This window comes from Homo sapiens, chromosome 2 (assembly GCF_000001405.40).
Source record: "Homo sapiens chromosome 2, GRCh38.p14 Primary Assembly".
NCBI lineage: Eukaryota > Metazoa > Chordata > Mammalia > Primates > Hominidae > Homo > Homo sapiens.
Window position 1 is genome coordinate 201131396 of NC_000002.12, and position 26533 is coordinate 201157928.

Genomic DNA, 26533 nt, shown 5'->3' on the forward strand with positions numbered 1-26533 from the left:
TGGCTAATTATTGTATTTTTACTAGAAACAGGGTTTTGCCATGTTGGCCAGGCTGGTCTTGAACTCTTAGCCTCAAGTGATCTGCCCTCCTTGGCCTCTTAAAGTGCTGGGATTATAGGTGTGAGCCACCATGCCCAGCCGGTGTTTTTTCTCTCGACCACCAGCCTTTTATTATGTTGATAATGTGTATTTGGAGATGATAATTATTATCAAGAACTATACTAAAGAGAGCTGAAAGCAGTGTGGGCTTTGGAAAGTATATGAGATTTGAACTTGGAAAGCCTGTTTTTTTGGTTTTTGTTTTTTTGTTTGTTTGTTTGTTTTTGAGACAGGGTCTTGCTCTGTCATCCAGGCTGGAGTGCAGTGGCATGATCATAGCTCATTGTAGCTGGAAGACCTGTTTCAAGCCTCAGATCTACCAATTATGGGCCAGGCAGGCTGGGCCAATCACTAACCTTGTTGGGCCTCTGTTTTCCTACTTGTAAAGCGAAAAATAATAATACCTGACTTTACAAGGTTGTTGTGAGCATCAGTTGTAATAATTTACTATGTGAAGTACTTTTTAAACTGTGAAGCACTCTACAGATAGAAGGGATTATTATCATTGTTATTATTATTATTTTTTTAATCTTCCACCTATTCAGCCATCAGTTTTAATGTCAGTAATCTTCAGACTTTCCGGGAGGCACCAACTGAGTTTCAGTGAATAGGGCAATCTCTCCATTTCCCATTTCCTTGCTATGATGAGTGGAGATTCTTCAGGCCCTCTGGGAAGGGTTGCGGGGGCAGTTGAAGAGGAGTGCTAGATTTATTTATTCATCTGGTGAGTGGGCTTCATTGTGTATTGGTGCTAAGTGTTTTGGTAAGCTCTAGGACAAAATGAAAAGTCTGCCATCCTCAAGAATCTGAGAGCCTAACTGGGAAAATGGCCTTGATGACAATGTCATGGTAACAATACTAACCACAGGGTGTCCTTAGGAGCCCCAGAAAAGTGTGGTTGTTGGTTCTCAAAGTCTATTTCCTAGGGGGGGAAAAATATATATATATATATATATATATAGTGTTAGCTCCAGCCACCAGTGAGTCAGGAGAGGCTTTCTAGGCAAAGACATCTAAGTTCAGAATCCTTGTGATCCAGATGCCTGTACCCTTTGAGTTCAGAGGTGGGCCAGGGTATCTCAGGTATTTCTTTCCTTTAGCATCTTGCAATTCAAAATATGGTCCTTGAATCAACATCACCTGAGAGCTTGTTAAACAGAGAAGGCTACTTCAAATTCTATTTCTGTCTTTTATGTTAGTCATTTGGGTTCTTAAGTCATTTCACTGTAACCTCTGGGGGAGCTAGGGGATTCTTTAAGGAAGTTTCCATTCTCTGAGTTGTTTTCAGAAACTGTTAGTTGGCAAAGGATGTACCATCTCCTATTAAACGGGCAAGGACAAGTTCCCTTTTCTGAGGTCCCTTAAGATCTCTTCCTGGGGTGATCTAGGCTTGCTGTTTTATGAGGGAGGGACATATTTACACAGGGGCAAGAACTAGTCTTTTAATCCATTGTTGCATAGGGGAGGCGTGGGCACTTGGAGTTGTCTTAGGACTGATGTCTGAATTAACTAAATGAACTTGTCTGGTTTGCAGAGTGCTGATGGCAGAGATTGGTGAGGATTTGGATAAATCTGATGTGTCCTCATTAATTTTCCTCATGAAGGATTACATGGGCCGAGGCAAGATAAGCAAGGAGAAGGTGAGTTTTCTTCTTTTGGTTCATGGCCCCAGGAGCCTATCAGAAGTGGGAGCTACTCTTGTTGATACAGAGAGAGGGAAGCAGGCAGTCTGCCGCCACTATAGTGGGAGTCAGACATCTCAGGTGGCTTTTAAACAACATGAATGGGAAGAGAATTGGTTTATGAATTGAAGAAATAGGATTATAACATCTTCTGGTGTGGTCTTGGATGTTTCTTTCATCCTTGGATTTTATCCTTGTTTCTGTAAAATTCATAGGTCTGGCTCATATGTGTTTCCCTCCCTGGTTTGATGGGGTTGTGGGGAAGACATCCCATCTGCTTGTGCTGGGGGAAAACAGGAAGGAGGTGCTAGTCCACTATAGTATCACTCTCCTACTGCCATCTATTTCTCCTCAGCTGACTCAAGGTCATTGTGGGGTCTAGGCTGCATGTAGGAGTGGGGTGGGGGGAGGTTCTTGTGACTGGTGTATCTGGGAAATGGTAAAAGTAGAGATTTAGAGTTGAAAACCAGGAGGCCGGGCGCAGTGGCTCATGCCTGTAATCCCAGCACTTTGGGGGGCCAAGGTGGGTGGATCACGAGGTCAGGAGATCGAGACCAACCTGGCTAACACGGTGAAACCCTATCTCTACTAAAAATACAAAAAAAGTAGCCGGGTGTGGTGGCGGGCGCCTGTAGTCCCAGTTACTCGGGAGGCTGAGGCAAGAGAATGGTGTGAAGCTGGGAGGCAGAGCTTGCGGTGAGCTGAGATGGCGCCACTGCACTCCAGCCTGGGTGACAGCAAGACTCCATCTCAAAAAAAAAAAAAAAAAAAAAAAATGAAGAAAAGAAGACCAGGTAGTGGTGAAGATCTCGGGGATGTCATGATTGCTAGAAAAATATTTAAAATCCATGGCCAGGCACGGTGGCTCACGCCTGTAATCCTAGCACTTTGGGAGACTGAGGTGGGCAGATCACCTGAGGTCAAGAGTTTGAGACCAACCTGGCCAACCTGGTGAAACTCCGTCTCTACTAAAAATACAAAAAATTAGCCGGGCGTGGTGGTAGGCACCTATAATCCCAGCTACAGGAGGTGAAGGCAGGAGAATCACTTGAACCCAGGAGGCGGAGGTTGCAGTGAGTCGAGATTGCACCATTGCACTCCAGCCTGGGCGACGGAGCAAGACTCTGTCTCAAAAAAAAAAATTTTTTTTAACTCCAGTTGGCCTAGCACAATGGCTCATGGGCACAGTGGCTCATGCTTGTAATCCCAGCACTTTGGGAGGCTGAGCCGGGCAGATCACTTGAGGTCAGGAGTTCAAGACCAGCCTGGCCAACATGGCAAAACCCCATCTCTACTAAAAGTACAAAAATTAGCTGGGCGTAGTGGTGGGCGCCTGTAATCCCAGCTACTTGGGAGGCTGAGGCAGGAGAATTGCTAGAACCCAGGAGGCAGAGGTTGCAGTAAGCCAAGATTGTGCTATTGCACTCCAGCCTGGGCTATAGAGCCAGACTCCATCTCAAAAATTAAAATAAAATAAAATAAAATAAAATAAAATAAAATAAAATAAAAAAATATAAAATAAAATAACATTCTAGTTGGCCCTACATGGTACTGTTGACCTAAGGATAGGCCAGGAAATGTTTGAGAACCTATTGTTTCTAAAATATGACAATAGGTCCTCAAAATAGGCAGGCCAGTGCCTGCCTGTAACGATTCAGATAAGTCATTGCTTGAGAATTTCCTCATGTTCCTAATGATTATAGTTTTGTTTCTTAAGTCCCATCAAATGCAAAATGGGAAGGAAAATGAAACTAGAACTCCCTTTTTGGTTTCTCCTAGTAATTGTCTCTCCCAGCCATTTATATATATCTAAATTATGATTATTATTTTCAAAAATAAAGATAGCACTTCAGTAACTAAATGTTAAATGCAAAGGAAATAGATCCCAAAGCAATGCCTGTTTCTGAAATATCGTTCGTTCATAATCACTGTGGCCCAAGGTAAACGAATAGCAGAATACTCAAACCTTGTTGTAATTTCACTTTTTTATAATCCCCTGAGTCAGAACGTCAGAATGAGTTGGAAGGCCCAATATTGATTCAAATATTTTGGAAACTTTAAAACTATAACATGTGATTTTTCTCATAAAGTCTTTCCCCAGCTACCTTTCTTCTCCTTTTTCAGAGAAGCCCTTAGAGTTTTTCACTATGACACCAGCCTGGCCTTTTGGAAAATAATAAACTTAGGAGGATTGTCTTTTCAGCCCTGCTCTTTCACGGTCCTTCTCAATGACACAACATGGCACACGTGTCTCTCTGCAACCAAGGAGCAGATTGATGACCAAAAGACTTACCACCACCTCTGTTCTGAGTAAAAATCAGGAGTCTAAGTTGCTCATGACAGAGATGTCTGGTTTAAGATCACTGAAGGTCACTGAAAGGGCTCATCTTGTCACATTTTCTTACTGCTATAAATCACATGGACTGAGGTTTGCATTTGGGGCTTATTAGTCAGCTCTATTTTTTTTTTTTGAGACAGGGTCTCGCTCTGCTGCCCAGGCTGGAGTGCCGTGGTGCAATCACTGCTCACTGCCTTGACCTCTGAGTTCAAGTGATCCTCCACCTCTGCCTCCTGAGTAGCTGGGACCACAGGTGTGTGCCAACACACTCAGCTTATTTTTTTTATTTTTTGTAGAGATGGGGGTCTCACTATTTTGCTCAGGCTGGTCTCAAACTCTTGGGCTCAAGCAGTCTTCCTGCCTCAGCCTCCCAAAGTGCTGGGATTACAGGTATGAACTTCTGCACCTGGCCTAGCTAGCTCTATTGACATTTGTTTTTTGTTGGTGGTTCTCTTAGAGTTTCTTGGACCTTGTGGTTGAGTTGGAGAAACTAAATCTGGTTGCCCCAGATCAACTGGATTTATTAGAAAAATGCCTAAAGAACATCCACAGAATAGACCTGAAGACAAAAATCCAGAAGTACAAGCAGTCTGGTAAGAATTTTGGCCTCTCAGTGGTCTAGGGGAAGTACTCTGTGCATGGGGGTGGGCATCATGACTGATAAATATTCATTTGTTGGATAGGTGGATGGAATGGAACCTGGATGACCAAAGCCTCCTTTAGCTTGTGGCTAGAAATCGCGTCCCTTTATATTCTTCATATCCCAGATCTGCCAACTCCATTGCCCTGTATATTCATGATCTCTGCAAAATGCTGCCAAGCAGTTCTTAACATTTCAGTCTTCAAGAAAGAATCTGGGATCTGCACAGGCTGGCAGAGCTATGGACATTCAGGGGTTTTGCATGTATGCTGAACCCTACTGCCTTGCTCTGGTATTTGGCCTCACAACCACTGTCCAACTTCGGGTGATGTCACTTGGGTCTCATACCTTCCTTGCATGTGTCCCAAGTTTCACAAAACCTCCTTATGGAAAAGAGCACATTCGATTTCTTCCTTGATAAAAGGGACCAGATTCACATTGGCCTTCTGCTTTACTTGCATTCCTCATTGTCTTTTAGACTCAGCCTCAGCTTGGGCTTTGTTAGCAAGTTCACTGCCACCATAGCATCACAGCCTAAAGGGCATGGCTGAGACTCATTGATCTATAGAGCACTCTTTTACCCCAACATACTCTAAATGACTGATCAAAGATCAAAAACAGAAGAGCATTTATACTCCATTCTTGTTTTTTGAGACCTGCTTGATTTATTCCGATTATTTAACACACAGGGACGCAACAGTGATCCCAAAGTGTGTAAAGTTAAAGCCTTCAACTGCAGCTGAGGAGAGGGCAGGAATGGGGACGGTGGTGAGTCAGGAATGACAGGCAGGCAGCCATGACCAGGGCAGCCTCCTCCCCAGGGCCAGGGACTGGGGAGTGGCCTAAGGAGCAGGACCTAAGGGTAGCCCAGAGCTGGGGAAGGGGGCAGAGACCTCCCCTTGGCCTAGGTCTGGAGCTCAGAAGTGCCACATGCCTGAGGGGGCAGCGGCCTGGGAAGGGCCAGAGGCAGGGTCAGGAGAGCACCATTTCCTGGGGGGCTGGGGACAGGGAGGTGCCCTATAGGAGAAGCCAGGAGGGGCCGTCTGCCCCTGAGGTGGGGGCTGGGCTGGAGCAGGCTGCAGCAAGAAAGACCTGAGGCAGGCACAGGGCCTGAGAGCCCAGCTGCCTGGGTTCAGGGGGGCTCCCAGGGCAGCCTGGCCCAGGGAGCAGTCCTGACTCTGCAGGGGATGCCCAGCAAGGGGGGCTGCAGACCCCTCAGAGCCTCCCCTCCTCTCTCCCTGGAAAGGAGCTGGGGAACCCATAGTGCAAATCTGTGGACCACTCAGTTATGGAGGGAGGCTGTGCCTGAAGGTGGACACTGGGGTGCACTCCCTCCACCATCTCGCCCTGCACCGCTGTCCTCAGTACAGCCACTTCTCGTAAGAGTGCAGGCCATGGATGCCACCGTCGATCTGGGCTGACATGGTCTGCTTCTCAAACTTGAGCTCCCCTGAGTACATCATGGACCGAAGGACAGACAGGCTGTGGGCCCCGATATCCTGGCAGCCATGCTGGATGCCCACTATGAGGTAGGGCACGAACTTCTGAATGGACCCTTTGTCCTGGATGGAGCCCAAGACATCCTGCGTGATCTTCGCCTTATCCCCGTCGTTGAAGTATTGTTTCTGGCTGCTGCTGCTCTTCTCCATGGCATCCAGTGAGCCCATGCCCTGGTACTTCTTGAGCTGCATTCCGTCTGAGAAGAAGCACTCGCCGGGGGCCTCCATGGTGGCGGCCAGCAGGGAGCCCATCATCACTGTGGAGGCTCCTAGGGCCAGGGCCTTGACCACATGCCCCATGGTCTGGATGCCACCATCGGCTATGATGGGCACACCAAAGTTCTGGGTATGCTTGGCCACCTTGTACACAGCAGTGCCCTGGGGCTGACTGCAGGCTATCACTTCCTGGTTGATGTAGATGGAGCCGCGCAGTCCATGCCCCTGCCCAGCCCATCCACACCAGCGTCAATCAGGTTGTTGGCCTGGGCTGCTGTCACCACGTTCCCCCCAATCACCTGGAGGTGGGGTTACTTTTGTTTGATGTAATGCACCATGGCGATCTGATACACCGAGTTCCCTTGGGACGAGTCCAAGCCTATGACATTGACGCCTACCTGGGTGAGCAGGTCCAGGTGGTATTTGTCATCCTCATGGGTACCCACAGCTGCCCCGCCCAGCAGCTGCTCATGGGAATCCTTGGAGGCCACAGGGTAGTCTCGGTTCTTCAGCGCGGTGCAGGTGATAATGGCCACCAGCTCATCGCGATCATTGACGATAGGCAGCTTCCTTTCTTACTAAGCTGCAGGATCTCATTTGCCTCTTTCAACCTCACACTGCTGGAGCCACCACTAGCTTGATCCTTGGCATCATCACCTCACTGAGGAGGGTGGTGTGGTCCTTCTCAGCAAGAAAGTCGATGTCTCGGGAGGTGACGATGCCCACCAGCTTGCTGCCCATGGTACCCGTCTCAGTGATGGGGATGCCAGAGAAGCCATGACGCATCTTGGCCTCCAACACATCACCCACAGTGTGCAAGGGGCTCAGCACCACGGGGTGTGTGATAAAGCCCGGTTCAAACTTCTTGACCTTCTGCACCTCACTGGCCTGGAACTCTGGGGTGCAGTTGTGGTGAATGAAACCAGTACCTCCCATCAGAGCCATCACGATGGCCAGGTCGGCCTCTGTCACAGTGTCCATGGGGGAGGAGATCAGCGGCGTCTTCAGAGTGACCATTGGGTCAGGGCTGAGGTCAGGTCCACCTCATCAGCTATGAAGTCTATGAATCCTGGGAGAATCAAGAAGTCGTTGTAGGTGAGTCCCTGGTCACTGGCGAAGAGCTGCTGCACGGTGTGGGGAAAAGAAAGAGAGATCAGATTGTTACTGTGTCTGTGTAGAAAGAAGTAGACATAGGAGACTCCATTTTGTTCTGTACTAAGAAAAATTCTTCTGCCTCGAGATGCTGTTAATCTGTAACCTTACCCCCAACCCTGTGCTCCCTGAAACATGTGCTATGTCAACTCAGGGTTAAGTGGATTAAGGGCTGTGCAAGATGTGCTTTGTTAAACAGATGCTTGAAGGCAGCGTGCTCGTTAAGAGTCATCACCACTCCCTAATCTCAAGTACCCAGGGACACAAACACTGCGGAAGGCCGCAGGGACCTCTGCCTAGGAAAGCCAGGTATTGTCCAAGGTTTCTCCCCATGTGATAGTCTGAAATATGGCCTCATGGGAAGGGAAAGACCTGACCGTCCCCCAGCCCGACACCCATAAAGGGTCTGTGCTGAGGAGGATTAGTAAAAGAGGAAGGAACGCCTGTTTGCAGTTGAGAGAAGAGGAAGGCATCTGTCTCCTGCCAGTCCCTGGGCAATGGAATGTCTCGGTGTAAAACCTGATTGTATGTTCCATCTGCTGAGATAGGGGAAAACCGCCTTAGGGCTGGAGGTGGGACATGCGGGCAGCACTACTGCTCTTTAAGTCATTGAGATGTTTATGTGTATGCATATCTGAAGCACAGCACTTAATTCTTTACCTTGTTCTTGATGCAGAGACCTTTGTTCACGTGTTTATCTGCTGACCTTCTCTCCACTATTATTCTATGACCCTGCCACACCCCCCTCTCCGAGAAACACCTAAAAATGATCAATAAATACTAAGGGAACTAAGAGGCCGGCGGGATCCTCCGTATGCTGAACGCCGGTCCCCTGGGCCCCCTTTTTTCTTTCTCTATACTTTGCGTCTGTGTCTTTCTTTTCCAAGTCTCTCGTTCCACCTAACGAGAAAAACCCACAGGTGTGGAGGGGCAACCCACCCCTTCAGCGCAGTGAACCCGTCCTCGACCACGTAGCCGGTGCTGCTGCTGATAGGTAGTCCCTCATGCTGCCGCGAGACCCCGCGACCCGACATAAACGCTGCAGCTGCTGCGACGCGGAGGCGCGCCGCTGCCACGCTGCAGCCAGGCGCCGGGTGGGCTGGGTGGGCTGGGGGCGGGGGCTGCGGCAGCGGCGGGGCGGGCCAGGGCGCCCTATACTCCATTCTTCATGATGTTTGGTCGAAGAGTCATCTGAAATTTTGAATTCAGTAAGGTGGCTAGAAAGTTTAGGGTATTTTGAAAGATGGTGATTGACCTTGGACTGAACCACTATTGAAGATTTATTTGATAATAATTTGTAAGTTTTAACTCAGTACCTCCCTTCTGCTTTTATAGTTCAAGGAGCAGGGACAAGTTACAGGAATGTTCTCCAAGCAGCAATCCAAAAGAGTCTCAAGGATCCTTCAAATAACTTCAGGGTGAGTCTGGAGAAAACATATGGAATCCCAGCATGAAACCGTTTCAGAGTTCTAATAAAAATATGCATATTCTCACAGCATGTACTTTATTTAATATCTGAAAAAATTGTGATAGAAATGTGTATTTGTTTTAAAAACGTGTAACTTCTTATATTTCAAAGCTAATACATGTTCATTGAGATATTTGGAGACTATAGAGAAAGATAAAAGAAAATAAATCACCTATATTCCACTATCCAAAGACAACCACTGTTAGTATTTTGGTATATTTCCTTCTAGACTCTTTTTTATGTGGGTTTGCATCTGTATCTGTATGTATGTATATATATATATATATACATACATACATACATACAGTTGGACAATTGGACATTTTTTTCACTGTTCATTTATTCACTTGAAATTGTAACTTAAAAAAAGAAAATGTAACTTTAAAAATAAAAATAGATGCACCATGCCTATGGAAAAAAATTTAAATGTACTACAAGAGGTTTTAAAAGTATTTTTTTGCCCGGGTGCGGTGGCTCATGCGTGTAATCCCAGCACTTTGGGAGGCCGAGCCGGAAGGATCACCTGAGGTCAGGAGTTCGAGACTGGCCTGGCCAACATGGTGAAACTCCATCTCTACTAAAAAATACAAAAATTAGCCAGGTATGGTGGCAGGTGCCTATAATCCCAGCTACTTGGGAGGCTGAGGCAGGAGAATCATATGAACCCAGGAAGTGGAGGTTGCAGTAGCCAAATCGCGCCATTGTACTCCAGCCTGGGTGACAAGAGCAAAACTCTGTCTCAAAAAAAATGTTTTCTTCCTACCCCTATAATACTGACCTCCAATTATTTTTCCTAAAGGCAGCTGTTGTGAACTAGTTCATTCTGTAACTATCCAGAGATAGTCTACACATATATTTCATTTTTGCTTTTTTCTCTTCTACAGATGATAACACCCTATGCCCATTGTCCTGATCTGAAAATTCTTGGAAATTGTTCCATGTGATTAACATGGAACTGCCTCTACTTAATCATTCTGAATGATTAAATCGTTTCATTTTCTAAATGTGTTATAATGTGTTTAGCCCTTTCTTGTTGCTGTATGTTTAGATGCTTTCCAATCTTTTGTTACTACTAATAATGCTATAAAATAAATATCCTTGTACTTCTTTGTGCATTTGTTTTTTTACTGAGCTAATTTTAATGATTTCAGCAAAAGTTATTTTGTTATTGAGTGATGAAACAAAAGATTTTTGAGGGTGTTCATGAGCATAAGTGTATCATATAGTCACTTATGGTTGTTGTGTTCCTAGTACTTAGTACAAGGTATCGGAATTGTTCTTTAGTTAATCTTTTATCTTGAGAAGTTAAATCTTGGTGTAATCTTATCCTCATGTTCATATAAAGATATGTGGAGTTTGTAGTGAGGACTTAGAGCCGGGTACAATTTCATGGTTAAATTAGAAATGCTTTTGGCAGTGTTAACAGCTCTTTTAGAATTTGTCTAGCAGGCTTTTCAGTTTTTGCCAGAAAGCCCTAAAAAAAAAGAAGGAAAAAAATGCTTTTGGCTGAGTGTGGTGGCTCACGCCTGTAATCCCAGCACTTTGGGAGGCCGAGGCAAGCGGATCGCTTGAGCCCAGGAGTTCGAGACAAACCTGGTCAATATGTCAAAACCCCATTTCTACAAAAAATACAAAAATTAGCTGGGCATGATGGTGTGCCTTTAGTCTCAGCTACTTGGGAGGCTGAGGTGGGAGAAATTGCTTGAGCCTGGGAGGTTGAGGCTGCAGTGAGGTGTGAGTGTGCCACTGCACTCCAGCCCTGGTGACAGAGTGAGACCTTGTCTCTAAAAGAAAAAAAAATATTATATATATATATATAAATGCTTTCCTTAAAATATGTAATGAAAACCCACTCTTGTAATATAAATGGTTTCTTGGAGAATATGTCTGTAAGAGACACTACTGAGCAATGCAATTTCAGAGCTAAAATGGATTTACGGATTATATTATCCAACTCCCTTAATGAACAAAATAAGGAAACTTAGCCCTAAAGAACATTAACTGATTGTCTACTTCTAACTACTAGCAGAGCTGGGCCCAGCCCATACTCCTTTCACTGCACTGTGATGTATATAATAAACTATATACTTGTCATACCATATCTTAGAGCATACTTTTTGTTTTTTTGAGACAGAGTTTCGTTCTTGTTGCCCAGGCTGGAGTGCAATGGCGCGATCTTGGCTCACCGCAACCTCCGCCTCCCGGGTTCAAGCGATTCTCCCACCTCAGCCTCCCAAGTAGCTGGGATTACAGGAATGTGCCACCACGCCCGGGTAATTTTATATTTTTAGTAGAGATGGGGTTTCTCCATGTTGGTCAGGCTGGTCTTGAACTCCCGACCTCAGGTGATCTGCCCGCCTCAGCCTCGCAAAGTGCTGAGATTACAGACATGAGCCACTGCACTTGGCCTAGCATATATTTTTTAAAAGAATGAAATGTGCTTTGTTTTGTCCTTCTGAGTCTCTGTAATACCAAATAATGAGAAAAAGCAGATTTAGGATTCAGATCCAGGTTTTCTGAGCTTTCTCTGCTATTGTCTGTCTAATATAAATTATATTGTCATTCTTAGTTAAAAAACCTGCCATATTTTTACTATTGTGTTTCTATTTTGTAAATGAAGCATATTCATTGCTATGTAGCCTGTTGTGAGCCCATATGCTTTGCATATTAGTTTCTCCTTAAACTTTCTATATTTAATATGTGACCCTAAGGCCGGGTGCAGTGGCTCACACCTGTAATCTCAGCACGTTGGGAGGCCGAGGCAGGTGGATCACCTGAGGTCGAGAGTTTGAGACCAACATGGAGAAACCCTGTCTCTACTAAAAATACAAAATTTTCCAGGTGTGGTGGTGCATGCCTGTAATCCCAGCTACTTGCGAGGCTGAGGCAGGAGAATCACTTGAACCTGAGAGGCGGAGGTTGTCGTGAGCCGAGATTGTGCCATTGCACTCCAGTTTGGGCAACAAGAGTGGAACTCCGTCTCAAAAAAAGAAAAAAAAAAGTGACCCTGATTATTCATTCATTCATTTAGTAAGCAGGCACTATGGCATATGAATGCAGTGACTTTCTTAAAAGGTTTAGGAGCCGAATACCTAGAAGTTAATTCATATGAGGCTGCAGAAGTGCTTCAAAAATTACTGTATGATTAAATGCCACAGGATACCACAAGATATTATAGAATTAAAAAATTATGGCTGGGCATGGTGGCTCACACCTGTAATCCCAGCACTTTGGGAGGCCGAGGCAGGTGGATCATGAGGTCAGGAGTTCAAGACCAGCCTGGCCAAGATGGTGAAACCCTGTCTCTACTAAAACTACAAAAATTAACCAGGCGCAGTGGCAGGCGCCTATAATCCCAGCTACTCTGGAGGCCGAGGCAGGAGAATCACTTGAACCCAGGCGGCAGAGGTTGCAGGCGCCACTGCACCCCACCCTGGGTGACAGAGTGAGACTCTGTCTCAAAAAAAAAAAAGAATTTAAAAATTATTTGGCTACAATACAATGCTTTTAAAATCCATCTTTGATTTGATATGTTACCTCTCTCTAATAATATGTAAAAGCGAATACACATGCATGCGGCCAATTTCTATCTGATATGATCAGCCTCTGGCTAAGTTACTAATTATTAGTGAAAAAGGCAACTTACATGTTTTTAATTTAGACACACAGACTTAGCTACTGACACAGCTTAACAGATAGTGTATTTCACTCTTTTGGCTAGGTTAGCTTCAGAGAAGAACTGTCATTTGAAAGCTGAGTGTCTCAGATGGGTTGACAGCATGTGGTATGTGTATCTTACATAGGACCTGTCATCTGAGAAGAGAAAGGGTCGGTTTAATCTTTCATTCTCTGATTACTCTTACTCTAGCCCTCAGAAGTGGTTTATCAAGAATATTTGATTATCAAGAATCAGGACCATATGTTGCTTATGTGTAGCTAGGCAATGATAGAAAAGCAATAACTGGACATTTATTATGTACTTCCATGTGCTTGGCACTGTGCTGAGTGCTTTGTGTGCATTTAATCTTCATACAAAATCTGTAAGGTATCTATTATTATCCTCATTTAGCATATGAAGAAACACACATACAGAAGTTAAATAACTTGCTCGAGGTTACATAGCTAATAAGTGGCAGAATTAGGATTCCTAGCCAGGTCTGTCTGGCCTAGAAATCCGACTCTTAACCATGCTGTACTTTGCCCCTGTGTTGAAGGAACAGGTGGAATGTCAATCTCATGTTCCAACAGCTTATCCTAACCTGGAGCTATGCTAGCAACTATACTATACTGTAACATCAGATTTTATTGGGCTGTTTTGAAACATTCTAATATGCTAGCTTAGCATATTTTTCTTTTCTTTTTTTTTAATTTTTGTGACAGAGTTTCACTTTTCACTCTTGTCGCCCAGGCTGGAGTGCAATGGCACCATCTCAGCTCACTGCAACCTCTGCCTCTCAGGTTCAAGCAATTCTCCTGCCTCAGCCTCCTGAGAAGCTGGGATTACAGGGGCACGCCACCATGCCCAGCAAATTTTTGTATTTTTAGTAGAGATGGGGTTTTACCATGTTGGCCAGGCCGGTCTGGAACTCCTGGCCTCAGATGATCCACCCACCTTGGCATCCCAAGGTGTTGGGATTACAGGTGTCAGCCATCGCTCCCGGCCTATTTTCATCTTTTAAAAGCAGAATTTCCCTGTTCTTTGGTAATATGATACGGGATTTATGGAGTTAACAGCTCTTGCTATTCTTTAGATAATTTAACTGTTGGGACGATATTTTTATTTTTTTCCTGAGTTAAGAATCCTATTGAGACATTTAAAGAGGTGTAATGTATAGTGTACCTCTGAAATAACTAACAGGAAGTATGACCTTATTCTTTGTATTTGAAGCTCCATAATGGGAGAAGTAAAGAACAAAGACTTAAGGAACAGCTTGGCGCTCAACGTAAGACCACCTTTTTTTAATATTCATTATTTATAAATGCTTGATAATTCTAGTACAAATATTGCATTTTTAGAGTTGGTCATTTCCTTTATCTACATAATCTAAGTAAGCTCTCAAAATAAAAACTGGTTAAACTCTTACGATAGACTCATTGGCATTTCTAGTTGTCTATTGAATTAGCTTATCTAAGTTTGAACACCATCGTACTCCATCAGCTTCATCATCTTGGCCGTATGTTAAGAGATGTGATGTTTATAACTGAAATGGAATGGAGCTCTAATCAGGCCATGTTAAACATTGATCCAACCATGATAATGAACCATGTTAAACCAAATATCTAGCAGCAGGAAGAGGAATGGTAAATAAGTTCTTGTCTTACAGCCTATTTAATAAATCTGGATACTCTACAGATGATATCCCCCCTTTCCTAAGAAAGAAAACGTGCAATTTAAAGATGGGTCATTTCAACCCGCATGAGCTGTTTTCTCTCTTAAAACATTAGCACTTGATCCCATAGATCATTTTTTAAAAGATTACTCTTTTTTTTTTTTGGAGACGGGGTCTCACTCTGTCACCCAGGCCGGAGTGCAGTGGTACACTTTTGGCTCACTACAGCCTCCACCTCCTGAATTCAAGTAATTCTCATGCCTCAGCCTCCTGAGTAGCTGGGATTAAAGGCACGCACCACCACACCCAGCTAATTTTTTTCTTATCTTTTCTTTTCTTTTTTTTGAGACAGAGTCTTGCTCTGTCACCCAGGCTGGCGTGCAGTGGTGCAATCTCGGCTCACTGCAACCTCCGCCTCCTGGGTTCAGGTGATTCTTATGCCTCAGCCTCCTGAGTAGCTGGGATTACAGGCTTGTGCCACCACACCCAGTTTATTTTTGTATTTTTAGTAGAGATGGGGTTTCATTCTGTTGCCCAGGCTGGTCTCAAACTTCTGACCTCAGGTGATCCACCCACCTCGGTCTCCCAAAGTGCTGGGATTACAGGGATGAGCCATGGCGCCCAGCCTAATTTTTGTATTTTTAGTACAGATAACGTTTCATCATGTTGGTCAGGCTGGTCTCAAACTGCTGACCTCAAGTAATCCACCACCTTGGCCTCCCAAAGTGCCGGGATTACAGGCGTGAGCCACTGCACCCAGCAAAAGTTTACTTCTTTTGCTTGTCTTGAGTCCTCCTTGAAGTGAGAGCTGAGACTCAGTCTTACACTGATGAGGCACATGGCTGTGGTTCCGAACTCCAGGAAACGGATTGATGGGCTGTGATGGAGGGCTTCAGTCTTATCCAAGAGGCTTGGAATCTGTCCTGTGTGTGGTGGGACATCATGAATGTTTTGAGTAGGGCAGTGGCCTAATAGAAGCCCTCTTTGTGTGGCAGTCCCCTTACAGATATCTTACGACTCAGTCTTTGTGCTATCTGCACCTGGAAACTTATTTTGCCCGGATTAGTCAGCTGGTGTAGCTCATGTCTGTCATTCTCTACCTAATATTGTGCTCTCCAGCAAAAACTACTGAGAAGCGAATTAATTCCTGAAATGATAGCATGTTTCTTAAAACACTGGTGAGGTGATGAGAATTAGTATTCCGAAGCCTGTTTAAAGGGAAAATAGGAGACCTAGTAGATTTGCATAGGAATTAAAAACAATTGGTGTTCTTTCCATTTGCTCCCTGATGGCAATTTTATCCTTGGTCATAATTGTACAGATGAGGTAAGTGAGAATCCAAATATCCCTATGATCCTGTTAGGAGAGCTGCTTACTTGCTCTTGCTTGGACTTGGTTTATTTGCTAATAAAAGAAAAAGGTTTCTGGGCTGGGCATGGTAGCTCATGCCTGTAGTCCCAGCACTTTGGGAGGTCGAGGTGGGTGCATCACCTGAGGTCAGGAGTTCAAGACCAACCTGGGCAACATGGTGAAACCCCGTCTCTACTAAAAATACAAAAATTACCTGGTCATGGTGGTGCATGCCTGTAGTCCCAGATACTCGGGAGGCTGAGGCAGGAGAATTGCTTGAACCTGGGAGGTGGAGGTTGCAGTGAGCCGAGATCTTGCCACTGCATTCTAGCCTGGGCAACAGAGCAAGACCCTGCCCCCCACCCCAGAAAAGCTTTCTAATAACTTGGGCTTAATTTAATAGAAGTTTAAAATACTCGGCCAGGCATGGTGGCTAACGCCTGTAATCCCAGCACTTTGGGAGGCCGAGACAGGCGGATCACGAGGTCAGGAGTTGGAGACCAGCCTGACCAACACGGTGAAACCCTGTCTCTACTGAAAATATAAAAATTAGCCAGGTGTGGTGGCACACACCTGTAATCCCAGCTACTCAGGAGGCTGAGGCAGGAGAATCGCTTCAACCTGGGAGGCGGAGGTTGCAGTGAGCTGAGATCGTGCCATTGCACTCCAGCCTGGGTGACAGAGCGAGACTCCATCTAAATAAATAAATAAATAATAATAATCAAACCAAATATTTATATTAATTTGGACTTCCAAATAGATTTGAACTGTTCAGCCATCATTGAATTTGATGAGGATGGTGATAACTTCAATTTAGTAATTTCTTGCTAAATGCCTTAAACTGAGATAGATATATCACATAGATTATTTTGTGGCTTTTCTTTGTTTGTTTGTTTGTTCTGTTAATATATAATTGCTAAAATACAAAAAATATAAAATGAAATTTCCTCTTTCAAGTATCAGAGATAGCTGCTATTAATGTTTGATTTTTATGCCTCCAGATTCTTTTATATTTAAGCATATATTAATACATGTGTAAGTATATGTACACAAATATACATTTTTAAGTTCACAGAATCAATATTATACATATTTTTAATAATCCATTTTTCACTTAATATATCCTGTGTATCTTTTTTTAATTTTTTTCTTTTTTTTTGGAGACAGAGTCTCGCTCTGTTGCCCACTTTGGAGTGCAGTGGCACAATCTCTGCTCAAAACTGGTTGTTCTTCCACCTCCCTGACCTAATCAAGTCATTTTTTTCTAGCAAATTAGCTTTAGGCTCATCTCCATTTGCCAGGCTCACTGCCCCCATTGTCACTGTCTTGCCATTGACATTTTATTTTATGATCTCCCAGTATCACTGGACTATGAAAACAGTGCCATCTGTTTTATAACTAGCAAACACATATAAACTTTCCCTGCTCTGCACTCTCTAAGGCTGTTCCCTTTAGGTATTGTCAACAGTTTCAGCACATATAGGAAAGCTATCAGTATTGTTGGGTGGTGAGGTTATTAGATTCTCCTATCAAGTTAAAAACTCACCAGCCACCTGTTCCTCACCTAGAACGGGGTAGGGGAGAGCCTTCTTTCACTTGCTGTTTAAGCAGCTTTTCCAGATAGCCCCTGATAGCACTGGGACTTGTGTTTTCTTATGTCACTTTCTTCAGTGTGAGGTTGAAACCTTGGGGCCAAGTATAGCTGGGGAAAGAAGAGATAATTGAAGAAAATAGGAAGGGAGAACAGTTGTTATACAAAGAAACTCAGCCAGTGTAGGGGTGGACTTAGCTCTCCTTCAGCTTTGTAAATGGTTTCTCTCTCTCATCCCCCAGAAGAACCAGTGAAGAAATCCATTCAGGAATCAGAAGCTTTTTTGCCTCAGGTACAGAATAAATGATCTGATTTGGTATTATATGTACATAGCTGTGGATAACCCTGACTTCTTTAAAAATACCTGTCCATTAAGAATTCTTTGAGACAGTGGGACTCTGAGAGTGTTGTTCTCCTGAGAACTTCCATACAAGGGAACCCTGAATAACAAAGAGAAAGATGTTAAAGTGGATTGCATTAGTGAACTTTGGAATGCAGGGAAGTTCCAAAGTAGCACTCCTCATCTCAACTCAGTGACTGCTGAACATATTAGTCAGCAGTGATACTTCCCTGAACTTTGGCTTGTTCTGGCTTTTTCTTAGGTTGACACCTCTTTGTAAGCAGAAGCAATAGAAGGGCTCCCTTTGTACTTGGGAACATGCCACTTATATAACTTCAGGTTACTGTGGAGACAAATCACTCATGTTTTCTCTCTTTTTCAAATTATCTTTATTCCACAAAGCCAATAAAGAGAGTGGGATTTTCATTAAAATTAAATAAAAATGAAAATAATTTGTCTTAAGCACATTACCCTAATAGAGGAAAAATTTGATATTAATGGGAAACATTTGCCGTAATGGGAAACTTCAGGCTGTGTCTGTTGAGTGACTCACCTGCCAAAGGAAATCCAAAAGAAGAGATGGTATATGGGTGGGACCTTATAGAAACAGAGCAATATCCAGAGTCTTTAGCATTTCTTGTCTTCCTTTCCAGAGCATACCTGAAGAGAGATACAAGATGAAGAGCAAGCCCCTAGGAATCTGCCTGATAATCGATTGCATTGGCAATGAGACAGGTAGGTGTGGAAGCTGCAGATTAACTGGTGCCCCCAGATTGAGATCATGGCACAGGCAAGCTGTATTCATTGGAGTGATCAGCACCAACTGCCGTGACAAACCAGTTCAAGAATCTGTGCTTCATCCTGGGTGCGGTGGCTCATGCCTGGAATTCCAGCACTTTGTGAGGCTGAGATGGGAGGATCACTTGAGCCCAGTTAAAAATTAGCTGGTGTGGGCTCGGGCACGGTGGCTTACACCTGTAATCCCAGCACTTTGGGAGGCGGAGGCGGGCGGATCATGAGGTCAGGAGTTCAAGACCAGCCTGGCCAATATGGTGAAACCCCGTCTCTACTAAAAATACAAAAATTAGCTGGGCATGGTGGTGGGTTCCTGTAGTCCCAGCTACTTGGGAGGCTGAGGCAGAAGAATTGCTTGAACCTGGGAGGCAGAGCTTGCAGTGAGCCGAGATCGCACCACCGCACTGTAGCCTGGGTGACAGAGCAAGATTCTGTCTCAAAAAAAAAAAAAATTAGCTGGTGTGGTGGTGCACACCTGTAGTCCCAGCTACATGGTAGGCTGAAGCAGGAGGATCACTTGAGCCCAAGGAGGTCAAGGCTGCAGTGAGCCAAGATGGTGGCATTGCACTCCAGTGTGGGTGACAGAGCAAGACCCTGTCTCAAAAAAAGAAAAAAAAAATGAATATGTGTTACAACACAATAGAGACTTGTTTCTCATTCATGTCACAGGCTAGTGTGGATCGGGCTGGGGGAGCTTTGTTCATGTGGCTATTCAGTGGCTCCATTATCTTCTGAGGTCTTGGAGTTTTCTACAGAGTCCCTTGCATCTGGCTAGCAGATAAGGGAAGAGAGAATGTGTGAAGGATCTCACAAGAGATTTTAGGGACCAGGCCTAAAAGTGATAATGTGCATCATTTCCACCCCATTAGATTGGTCAGAACTCAGTCATGTGGCTCCATCTAACTGTAGTGGACATGGAGAAATTAGTCTCGCTGTGTGTCAGGAGGAAATGAAATGGATTTGGGGGACACATAACAGTGTCTCTGGCACAAAGACATCATTTACGGTAGTTGGTGAGCCTTAGTCTTGCCTTTTCTTTTGGATGCTGAAGCAGGGAGGAGTCCTGGAACCCAGAGGGGCATTAATATTAATGGAAGGCATTCTGGCTTCACATATTATCACATGCCCCATCATTTCACCTAGATAGACGACAAAAGCTTTCCTGGGAACATTAAAGACATAATAAATGTGTGTTCACTTACAGAGCTTTGGATATTTTCTGAGCTGTGTCAGTCAGTTCTGCTGTCCTTTGCTTTGGTCGTTGGCCTCAGTCTCTTCTATCTGCGCGTCACCATTGCTTGGATCTGAGATGATTCTTTTGCTCAGTTGTTGTTGGATGTCTGACTCAAACTGAATCACTGGTGCTGCATCAAAAGAGAATGAGAAGAGCCTAGATAAGTGGAATGACATTCTGTTTAATTATTTAGCTCTTCCTTAAGAGGATCGATCATTGTATTTCCAGTTTTAGAGCTTCTCAACATTCTCTTAAAATGAGTCAGAACTATCTTTCAGGCTCACTTAAAATGTTACCATGGGGAGTTTTATGGGAAGAAAGGCTAAGAGAAGGTCAAATTAGCAAATATAATACTAAATTTTCCAGGATTTCAGATACGATCCTGCTTGGTCGTGTCCTATTTTTGGTTAGATGTGAGAAAGATAAGTGTCTTCTTTTCAGCCATTAGTACCCATATAAGAATGAGAAAATATTTTCTTAATGAGTCACTTCCTGTTTTAAGAGATTATGTAATTGTCCTGTACTTCTGGTTTTGGTCAGTTTTGTTTCATTCATCAGTAGATGTTGTACGTATATCTGTTGTATGAGAGAATCATAAAAAAAAAAAAGCCATGACCTGCTGTGAATTGAAAAACTAAGTTTTTTGGCTAAAACTCAATGTCTGTGCTTGCTTCTGTTGCTGGGTTATGGGCCTCTTGGGGGCGGGGGCTGAATGTATATTTGAATTTTTCTGCATTATAGGAGCATGATCAGAGTTGAGAAATGGAATATGACAGTGTGGGTTTGAATCATGGCTATGCCATGTTCTAGCTTGTGACCTTGGGCAATGTCCCTGGCCTCTTTATTTTTTTTAATGTTTTTTTTTTTCTTTCTTGAGAGAGAATCTCACTCTTGTTGCCCATGCTGGAGGGCCATGGTGCGATCTTGGCTCACTGCAACCTCTTCCTCCTGGGTTCAAGCAATTCTCCTGCCTCAGCCTCCCGAGTACATCCCTGCCGGGAATACAGGCGCCCGCCACCATGCCTGGCTAATTTTTTGTATTTTTAGTAGAGACGGGGTTTCACCATGTTGGCCAGGCTGGTCTCGAACTTGCTGACCTCAAGTGATCCACCCACCTCGGCCTCCCAAAGTGCTGGGATTACAGGCATGAGCCACCACGCTCGGCTTCTAATTTTTTTTAATTTAAATTTTATTTTTATTTTTCCTGTAGTGCTGAGTTCTCGGCCTTCTTAAGTCCCAGTTTCTCTTCTGTAAAGTGGGTTAATAACAGGACCTACCTCATAGGGAGGTTGGGCAGAATGAGAGTTCATACTTGGAAAGGGCTTAGAATAATGCCTGGCACAGTGTGAGCATGTACTAGATGCCAACTAGCATTATTTCCTCATTTGCTTGTTCAATTCTAGCCATAAACCACCTAAGCAAGAGCTCACCATGGCTTTGCACTTGGTACATAGAGTCTGATCTCAGACAAGTGAGAGACCAGGGCACTGAGGCCTGCCCTAGGCCCAAGGGTGAGTGGAATGCATCCCCATAGACTGAGGCGCACTGGAATGGAGGCCATAACTTGAGAGGGTTATCCAACTTCTTGGATAAACACTCAAGTGGAAAGCTGAGCACAGCACTCCTACCAGTCACAGTCTGAATGGGCTTGGCAGAGGAGAATCTAAGTACAAAGTACAGGAGGGCAGAGACCTGATAAAAGAGAAAGATGGAAGAAGATGGTAGAATTGGAGGCAGAGCCTGGGGCATCATGCTTTTGGCCACAGGTATGAGCAGGTATTGGTCTTGACTGCACTGGTACATCTGTTTCCTGCCCCATGGTTGCGGATGTATCTGTATACGAGCTCCAAGAATCAGAATGGCAGCTCTAGACAGCAGGTCCTTCCTGGTCAGACATAGTCCTTTAAAGTTCAACATCTTGGTGGTACATTGCTGGACAAGAGTAGGCCTGGGCCATTAGAGGGTACCCTGGATGCTCGGTGCTGCCTTTCCCCTGAGAATCAGGGTGATTTGACTCAAGCCTTCTCTGCCTCTGGGAACAAAATCAGTAATTGGGCTTGAGGCCACTTATAAACCCCCCTGGGCTCAGGTGGCTAATTAGCAAGTAAGAAACAAGGCAGCACACTTTTACTCTTCTTGTGCTATGGTTTTCATCAGCTGAGAGGTCACAAATCCACTTACATGCAGACTCAGAGCAGCAGGAGAACATTAATTATTAAGAAGTGGAAAGGCACAGTCTCCTCTCCTCACACCATCTCCCTAGGCCTCCAGCTCTTCATTTCCCTCCTCCTCTCCTGGTAATTTGTCACTGAAGATTCTAGGCCCAGAATCCTGCCTTGGTTGAAAATGGTTGTTATTATTAGTGCAGCACCCTTCATCTCTTTTCCTTCTAATCCGCAGTTAGGGGGCTTCATCTAGAGTAATTATGTGGATTTCCTCTGTCTGGTTAACTTTGCCATCTGGTTAACATTGAACACTTGGGAGGAGTGCAGGAGTCAGATAATGAACAAGCGGGTAAGGTAATTGCCAGCCGAAATAAGGTCTCTGAAAGAAAGAAACAAGAACATGATAGGACTAACCTAGGCATAGCTGTGCTCAGAGTATATAATTTATTAAAAATCTACTACGTGCCAGGTACTTTGCTAATTGCTTTACACGGATTCTTGCTTAATCCTCATGAATAATACCATAATATAGGTACTATTCTCTCCATTAAATTTTTTTTGTTCTACTTAGAACTAATTTGCTAGGAATATTCTATTTTCTTTTCTTTCTTTTTTTTTTTTTTTTTTTTTTGACAGAGTCTTGCTCTGTCGCCAGGCTGGAGTGCAGTGGTGCAATCTTGGCTCACTGCAACCTCTCCCTCCCAAGTTCAAGCGATTCTTCTGCCTCAGCCTCCTGAGTAGCTGGGATTACAGGCATGCGCCACCACGCCCAGCTAATTTTTCTTTTTTCTTTTTATATTTTTAATTTATTTTTAAGACGGAGTTTCCCTTTTGTTGCCCAGGTTGGAGTGCAATGGCGCAATCTCAGCTCACCGCAATCTCCACCTCCCAGGTTCAAGCGATTCTCCTGCCTCAGCCTCCTGAGTAACTGGGATTACAGGCATGTGCCACCATGCCCAGCTAATTTTGTATTTTTAGTAGAGACAAGGTTTCACCATGTCGGCCAGGCTGGTCTCGATCTCCTGACCTTGTGATCTGCCCACCTCAGCCTCCCAAAGTGCTACGATTACAGGCGTCAGCCATCATGCCTGGCTTATTCTCTCCATTTTCAAGGTGAGGAAGCTGAGCAGTGAACTACACTCCTACCTTCTCTAGTACTGATTGAGCTGGGATTCAAAAGCTGGACTCCAAAACCTATGCTTTTAACTACTTTGCCTCAATATAATTTCCATGAAGGTGAGGGAGTTTATCTATCTCCTACTATGGGTCTCCAGTACCTGGAAGAATACCTGCTATGTAGGTGTTCAATAAATAATTGTTGGGTGAATGAATGAAGGAATAAGCTCTCCCAGTGTCAGTGTGTTTCTAAAAGCCATTCCTTTTTATCTTTAGAGTTTAGCAGACTCTCTTCTACCTATCTTCCCTTCTCTCCTCAAAAAACCAGACTTTTATCCAAAAAGCATGCAAGTCCCCCAAGTATTTAAAGCTTTATTTCTTTGTTTGTCCAGTAAATGTTCGTTGAGGGCCTACTATGTGCAAAGCACCATGCTTGGCCCTGTGTGAAGCAAATATTAAGGCAATGAGGTGGAGTCTGATCTCAGAGCTGTGTTGTGCATGAAATAAGGTTATTCTTTGGTAGTTCTTTCTTGAGAAGAATTCTTATGGAGTTCAGTAACCTCTTCTTGAGGCAGAAGTAAATGCTCAGGGATTTGGGAACTAATTATCTCAGTTTGGTAGAATTGAAAAATAAGTCTTTGGTGTTGTGTCATCTGTGTCAGTGACAGCAAAGCTGGACCTGTGCTAGGCCCTGGTGGGTCATCTTTAAGCACTGGACTTTTATCTTGTTAGGAATATAGAAGCAAGCGTCTCACATCTCTGACAGATGGGCTTTACGGCTTGGCCTAAAGCTCTGGTTGTTTTTAAGGCCCTTGAATAAAAATAAAAGACGATGTTTGCAGATTTTAAGAGGAAGTTTTTTTTTTTTTTGAGACAGAGTCTCGCTCTGTCACCCAGGCTACTGGAGTGCAATGGCGTTATCTTGGCTCACTGCAACCTCTGTCTCCCGGGTTCAAGCGATTCTCCGCCTCAGCCTCCTGAGTAGCTGGGATTACAGGCACCCGCCATCATGCCCGGCTAATTTTTGTATTTTTGTAGAGATGGGGTTTCACCATGTTGGCCAGGCTAGTCTTGAACTCCTGACCTCAGGTGATCCGCCCGCCTCGGCCTCCCAAAGTGCTGGGATCACGGGGATGAGCCATCGCACCTGGCCAAGAGGAAGTATTTTTTTTTTCTATCCTGCTCTTTCTGAAAAGCTTGAACATTTTTCTGTACTTTCCTTTTCTTTTTTGAGACAGGGTCTTGCTCTATCACCCAGAATGGAGCACAGGGGTACAATCATGGCTCACTGCAGCCTTCACCTCCCGGGCTCAAGCAATCCTCTCACCTCACCCTCCCAAGTAGCTGGAACTACACACAGGCGCCACCACATCCATCTAATTTTTAAAATATTCTGTAGAGACAGGGTCTCACTATGTTGCCCAGGCTGGTCTCAAACTTCTGGGCTGAAGCAATCCTCCCACTTCAGCCTCCTGAGTGGCTGGGACTACAGGCACATGCTATCATGTCTGGCTAACTTTGTTTTTTATAGAGACAGGGTCTTTTGCTGTATTTCCCAGGGCGGTCTTGAACTCCTGGCTTCAAGTGATCTTCCTGCCTTGGCCTCCCAAAGCACTGGGATTATGGCCATGAGCCACCACGTAATCTTTGTTTTATGCGTATTTATAAGCTTTGCTTCCCCAACAAGATTATAAGCTCTTTGATTGAAGTACATCATATATTTGATATGTATTCTCTTGTCCAAGTGTTTCTGTAGGCAATAAGGGGAACTTTGTAAAACAAGAGTTTTCCGGTCAAGTAAATTTGAGAAGCGCTGCCTAATCTCTTCCCCCTCAGAGATTTGCAATGCATATTGACCTATTAAAGGCTCTGAGAATTCTTCCTGCGAAGAAACCTATTTTAGCCTTGTCCACCTTGCATTTCCCAAACACGTTTGACCTCAGAACTCCCTTTTTCACTAAGAATGTTTTGCCCATCTTATGTTTTACCCATGTGCTCTATAGCAGTTAACACTGGGCTTATTAAAGGTACTCAATATGTGATTGTAAATTAACTGGTGAAGCATTCCCTCATTCTTGTTTATTTTATACATTTATTTAATGAAGCCCTTTTCATAGAAATTGTCAAGATAAATGTATCCTCATTTAGATCAAAACAAATTCTAAATTAATGAAGTCATGACATTTTACTGTATTTTGGTTTTTTTGGTTTATCTGTGAAGTCCTCAAACCTGTGAGTAGTGCTGACCCTAGCCTTGAATGAACAGCCCTGTACTAACTGCAAGGCCAGAAGAACCCCTGCCCTTCCCCTCCCCACCCCCCCACATCATTTCCAGAAGTTCTAAAGAACAGTTGAAATTTACGGAGATCAGACTGGGTTGAGTGTGGGATTTCCAGGGTGGGTTCTAGAAGGAGAAGTGGGTCTTCTGTAGTTTGTTGAAATTTTATTTTCCAAACCCAGCCCCCAAGTTTTTCTTCCTCTATTTATGTGCAAGGACAAAACAGTTACTGTCCTACCTACATAGGATATGGACTCTGTCTGCTCTGAGCCCATTTTAGTTTAGAATATAGAGACCTCCCTCCAGGTCCTAAGAGAGAGATTCCATGAGAGATGTGCAACACCATAAGGTTGGTGATTTGTACTTTGAAATGGCTGCCTTTATTTCCTTTAAAGTCAATATCTTATATTTGAATAAACACAGTTTGCAAAGCATCTTTACAGAAATCTCATTGGATCCTCACGGTCACCTTTTTTCTGAGACAGAGTCTCACTCTTTCACCCAGGCTGGAGTGCAGTGGAGCGATCTTGGCTCCTCCACTTCCTGGGCTCGAGTGATCCTCCTTCCTTAGCCTCCCAAGTAGCTGGGACCACAGATGCGTGCCACCATGCCCAGCCAATTTTTGTATTTTTGGTAGAGATGGGGTTTCGCCATGTTGCCCAGGCTGGTCTCAAACTCTGCAGCTCAAGCAATCCACCCGCCTTGGCCTCCCAAAGTGCTGGGATTACAGGTATGAGCCACTGTACCCTGCCCTCACAGTCACCTTTTGAAGAACCTCCTGCTCAAGAGATCCTCCTGCCTCAGCCTCCTGAGTAGCTGTGATGACTACAGGCTTGTACTACCATGCCTGGCTAGTTTTTTTATTTTTTGTAGAGACGGGGTTCCCTGTGATGCCCAGGGTGGTCTCAAACTCCTGAGCTCAAGCCATCCTCCCACCTCAGCCTCCCAAAGTGCTGGGATTGTAGGTGTGAGCCACTGCACCTGGCCAAGCATTAGTTTTAATCTTGTTTTATAGATGAATAAACTGGGGCTGACTCAAACTGACTCAAAGTCACACTGTCATTACCTTTTTGATCCTGTACGTTAGACTGGGCTGTATGCATGTTCTTGCTGGCGCAATAAAGTTGCAAGTGCCAGCTAACAGCCCTTCCCACTCCACCTCACCACCTCATAGAGGAAAATTGTGACGTTAATGGGAAATGTCAGCGGTAATGTCTTCAGGCTGGGCCTGTGGAGTGAC

The 26533-nt window shown here is 44.3% G+C and overlaps 1 protein-coding gene, 1 long non-coding RNA gene and 2 pseudogenes across 43 annotated transcripts in view, besides 7 other annotated features; 2 read left to right on the forward strand and 2 right to left on the reverse strand.

The window, feature by feature from the left end:
- CFLAR (CASP8 and FADD like apoptosis regulator) overlaps positions 1–26533 on the forward strand; it is a 60524-nt gene that overhangs the window by 15232 nt on the left and 18759 nt on the right. For 24 of the 42 annotated variants that reach the window (XR_001739013.3, XR_007083713.1, NR_147251.2 and 21 more), the window contains 6 exons: positions 1634–1739; positions 4577–4712; positions 8962–9044; positions 13983–14037; positions 17608–17657; positions 18359–18440. Coding sequence is in view for 18 of the 42 variants with exons in the window: in NM_003879.7 (NP_003870.4) it covers positions 1634–1739; positions 4577–4712; positions 8962–9044; positions 13983–14037; positions 17608–17657; positions 18359–18440 (512 nt within the window). In the remaining 24 variants the exon portion in view is untranslated. Of the gene's footprint in view, positions 1–1385; positions 1740–4576; positions 4713–4802; positions 8484–8879; positions 9120–9978; positions 10202–13982; positions 14038–17607; positions 17658–18358; positions 18441–22741; positions 23013–26533 lie in introns of those variants that run through there. The other 18 variants (NR_147241.2, NR_147255.2, NM_001127184.4 and 15 more) reach the window with 9 other exon arrangements.
- Positions 1427–1516: an enhancer, noted in NCBI's record as "active region_16978". NCBI's record gives its function as "activates an Ori minimal core promoter by ATAC-STARR-seq in GM12878 lymphoblastoid cells {active_cell/tissue: GM12878}" and the evidence as "EXISTENCE:reporter gene assay evidence [ECO:0000049][PMID:35858748]".
- IMPDH1P10 (inosine monophosphate dehydrogenase 1 pseudogene 10) lies at positions 5924–7608 on the reverse strand (annotated as a pseudogene).
- Positions 6239–7195: an enhancer, noted in NCBI's record as "H3K27ac-H3K4me1 hESC enhancer chr2:202002357-202003313 (GRCh37/hg19 assembly coordinates)". NCBI's record gives its function as "activates a minimal SCP1, AML or CMV promoter by ChIP-STARR-seq in naive H9 embryonic stem cells {active_cell/tissue: H9 hESC(naive)}" and the evidence as "EXISTENCE:reporter gene assay evidence [ECO:0000049][PMID:30033119]".
- Positions 7196–8152: an enhancer, noted in NCBI's record as "OCT4-NANOG-H3K27ac-H3K4me1 hESC enhancer chr2:202003314-202004270 (GRCh37/hg19 assembly coordinates)". NCBI's record gives its function as "activates a minimal SCP1, AML or CMV promoter by ChIP-STARR-seq in naive H9 embryonic stem cells {active_cell/tissue: H9 hESC(naive)}" and the evidence as "EXISTENCE:reporter gene assay evidence [ECO:0000049][PMID:30033119]".
- Positions 8153–9109: an enhancer, noted in NCBI's record as "OCT4-NANOG-H3K27ac hESC enhancer chr2:202004271-202005227 (GRCh37/hg19 assembly coordinates)". NCBI's record gives its function as "activates a minimal SCP1, AML or CMV promoter by ChIP-STARR-seq in naive H9 embryonic stem cells {active_cell/tissue: H9 hESC(naive)}" and the evidence as "EXISTENCE:reporter gene assay evidence [ECO:0000049][PMID:30033119]".
- Positions 8894–26397, reverse strand: CFLAR-AS1 (CFLAR antisense RNA 1). The gene is made up of 7 exons (NR_040030.1): positions 26360–26397; positions 21916–22278; positions 19703–19864; positions 18259–18365; positions 17730–17805; positions 17339–17476; positions 8894–9050 (listed from the first exon to the last, which is right to left on the reverse strand). It is a non-coding gene; the product is annotated as a CFLAR antisense RNA 1 (long non-coding RNA).
- On the forward strand, positions 10508–10568 carry RNU7-45P (RNA, U7 small nuclear 45 pseudogene; annotated as a pseudogene).
- Positions 17771–18065: a silencer, noted in NCBI's record as "tiled region #10379; K562 Repressive non-DNase unmatched - State 15:Elon". NCBI's record gives its function as "represses a minimal TATA promoter and a strong SV40 promoter by Sharpr-MPRA in K562 cells {active_cell/tissue: K562}" and the evidence as "EXISTENCE:reporter gene assay evidence [ECO:0000049][PMID:27701403]".
- Positions 18264–18949: an enhancer, noted in NCBI's record as "H3K27ac-H3K4me1 hESC enhancer chr2:202014382-202015067 (GRCh37/hg19 assembly coordinates)". NCBI's record gives its function as "activates a minimal SCP1, AML or CMV promoter by ChIP-STARR-seq in naive H9 embryonic stem cells {active_cell/tissue: H9 hESC(naive)}" and the evidence as "EXISTENCE:reporter gene assay evidence [ECO:0000049][PMID:30033119]".
- Positions 19180–20379: an enhancer, noted in NCBI's record as "P300/CBP strongly-dependent group 1 enhancer chr2:202015298-202016497 (GRCh37/hg19 assembly coordinates)". NCBI's record gives its function as "activates an origin of replication core promoter dependent on BRD2, BRD4, P300/CBP, MED14 and CDK7 cofactors, with strong dependence on P300/CBP, by STARR-seq in HCT116 cells {active_cell/tissue: HCT116}" and the evidence as "EXISTENCE:reporter gene assay evidence [ECO:0000049][PMID:35650434]".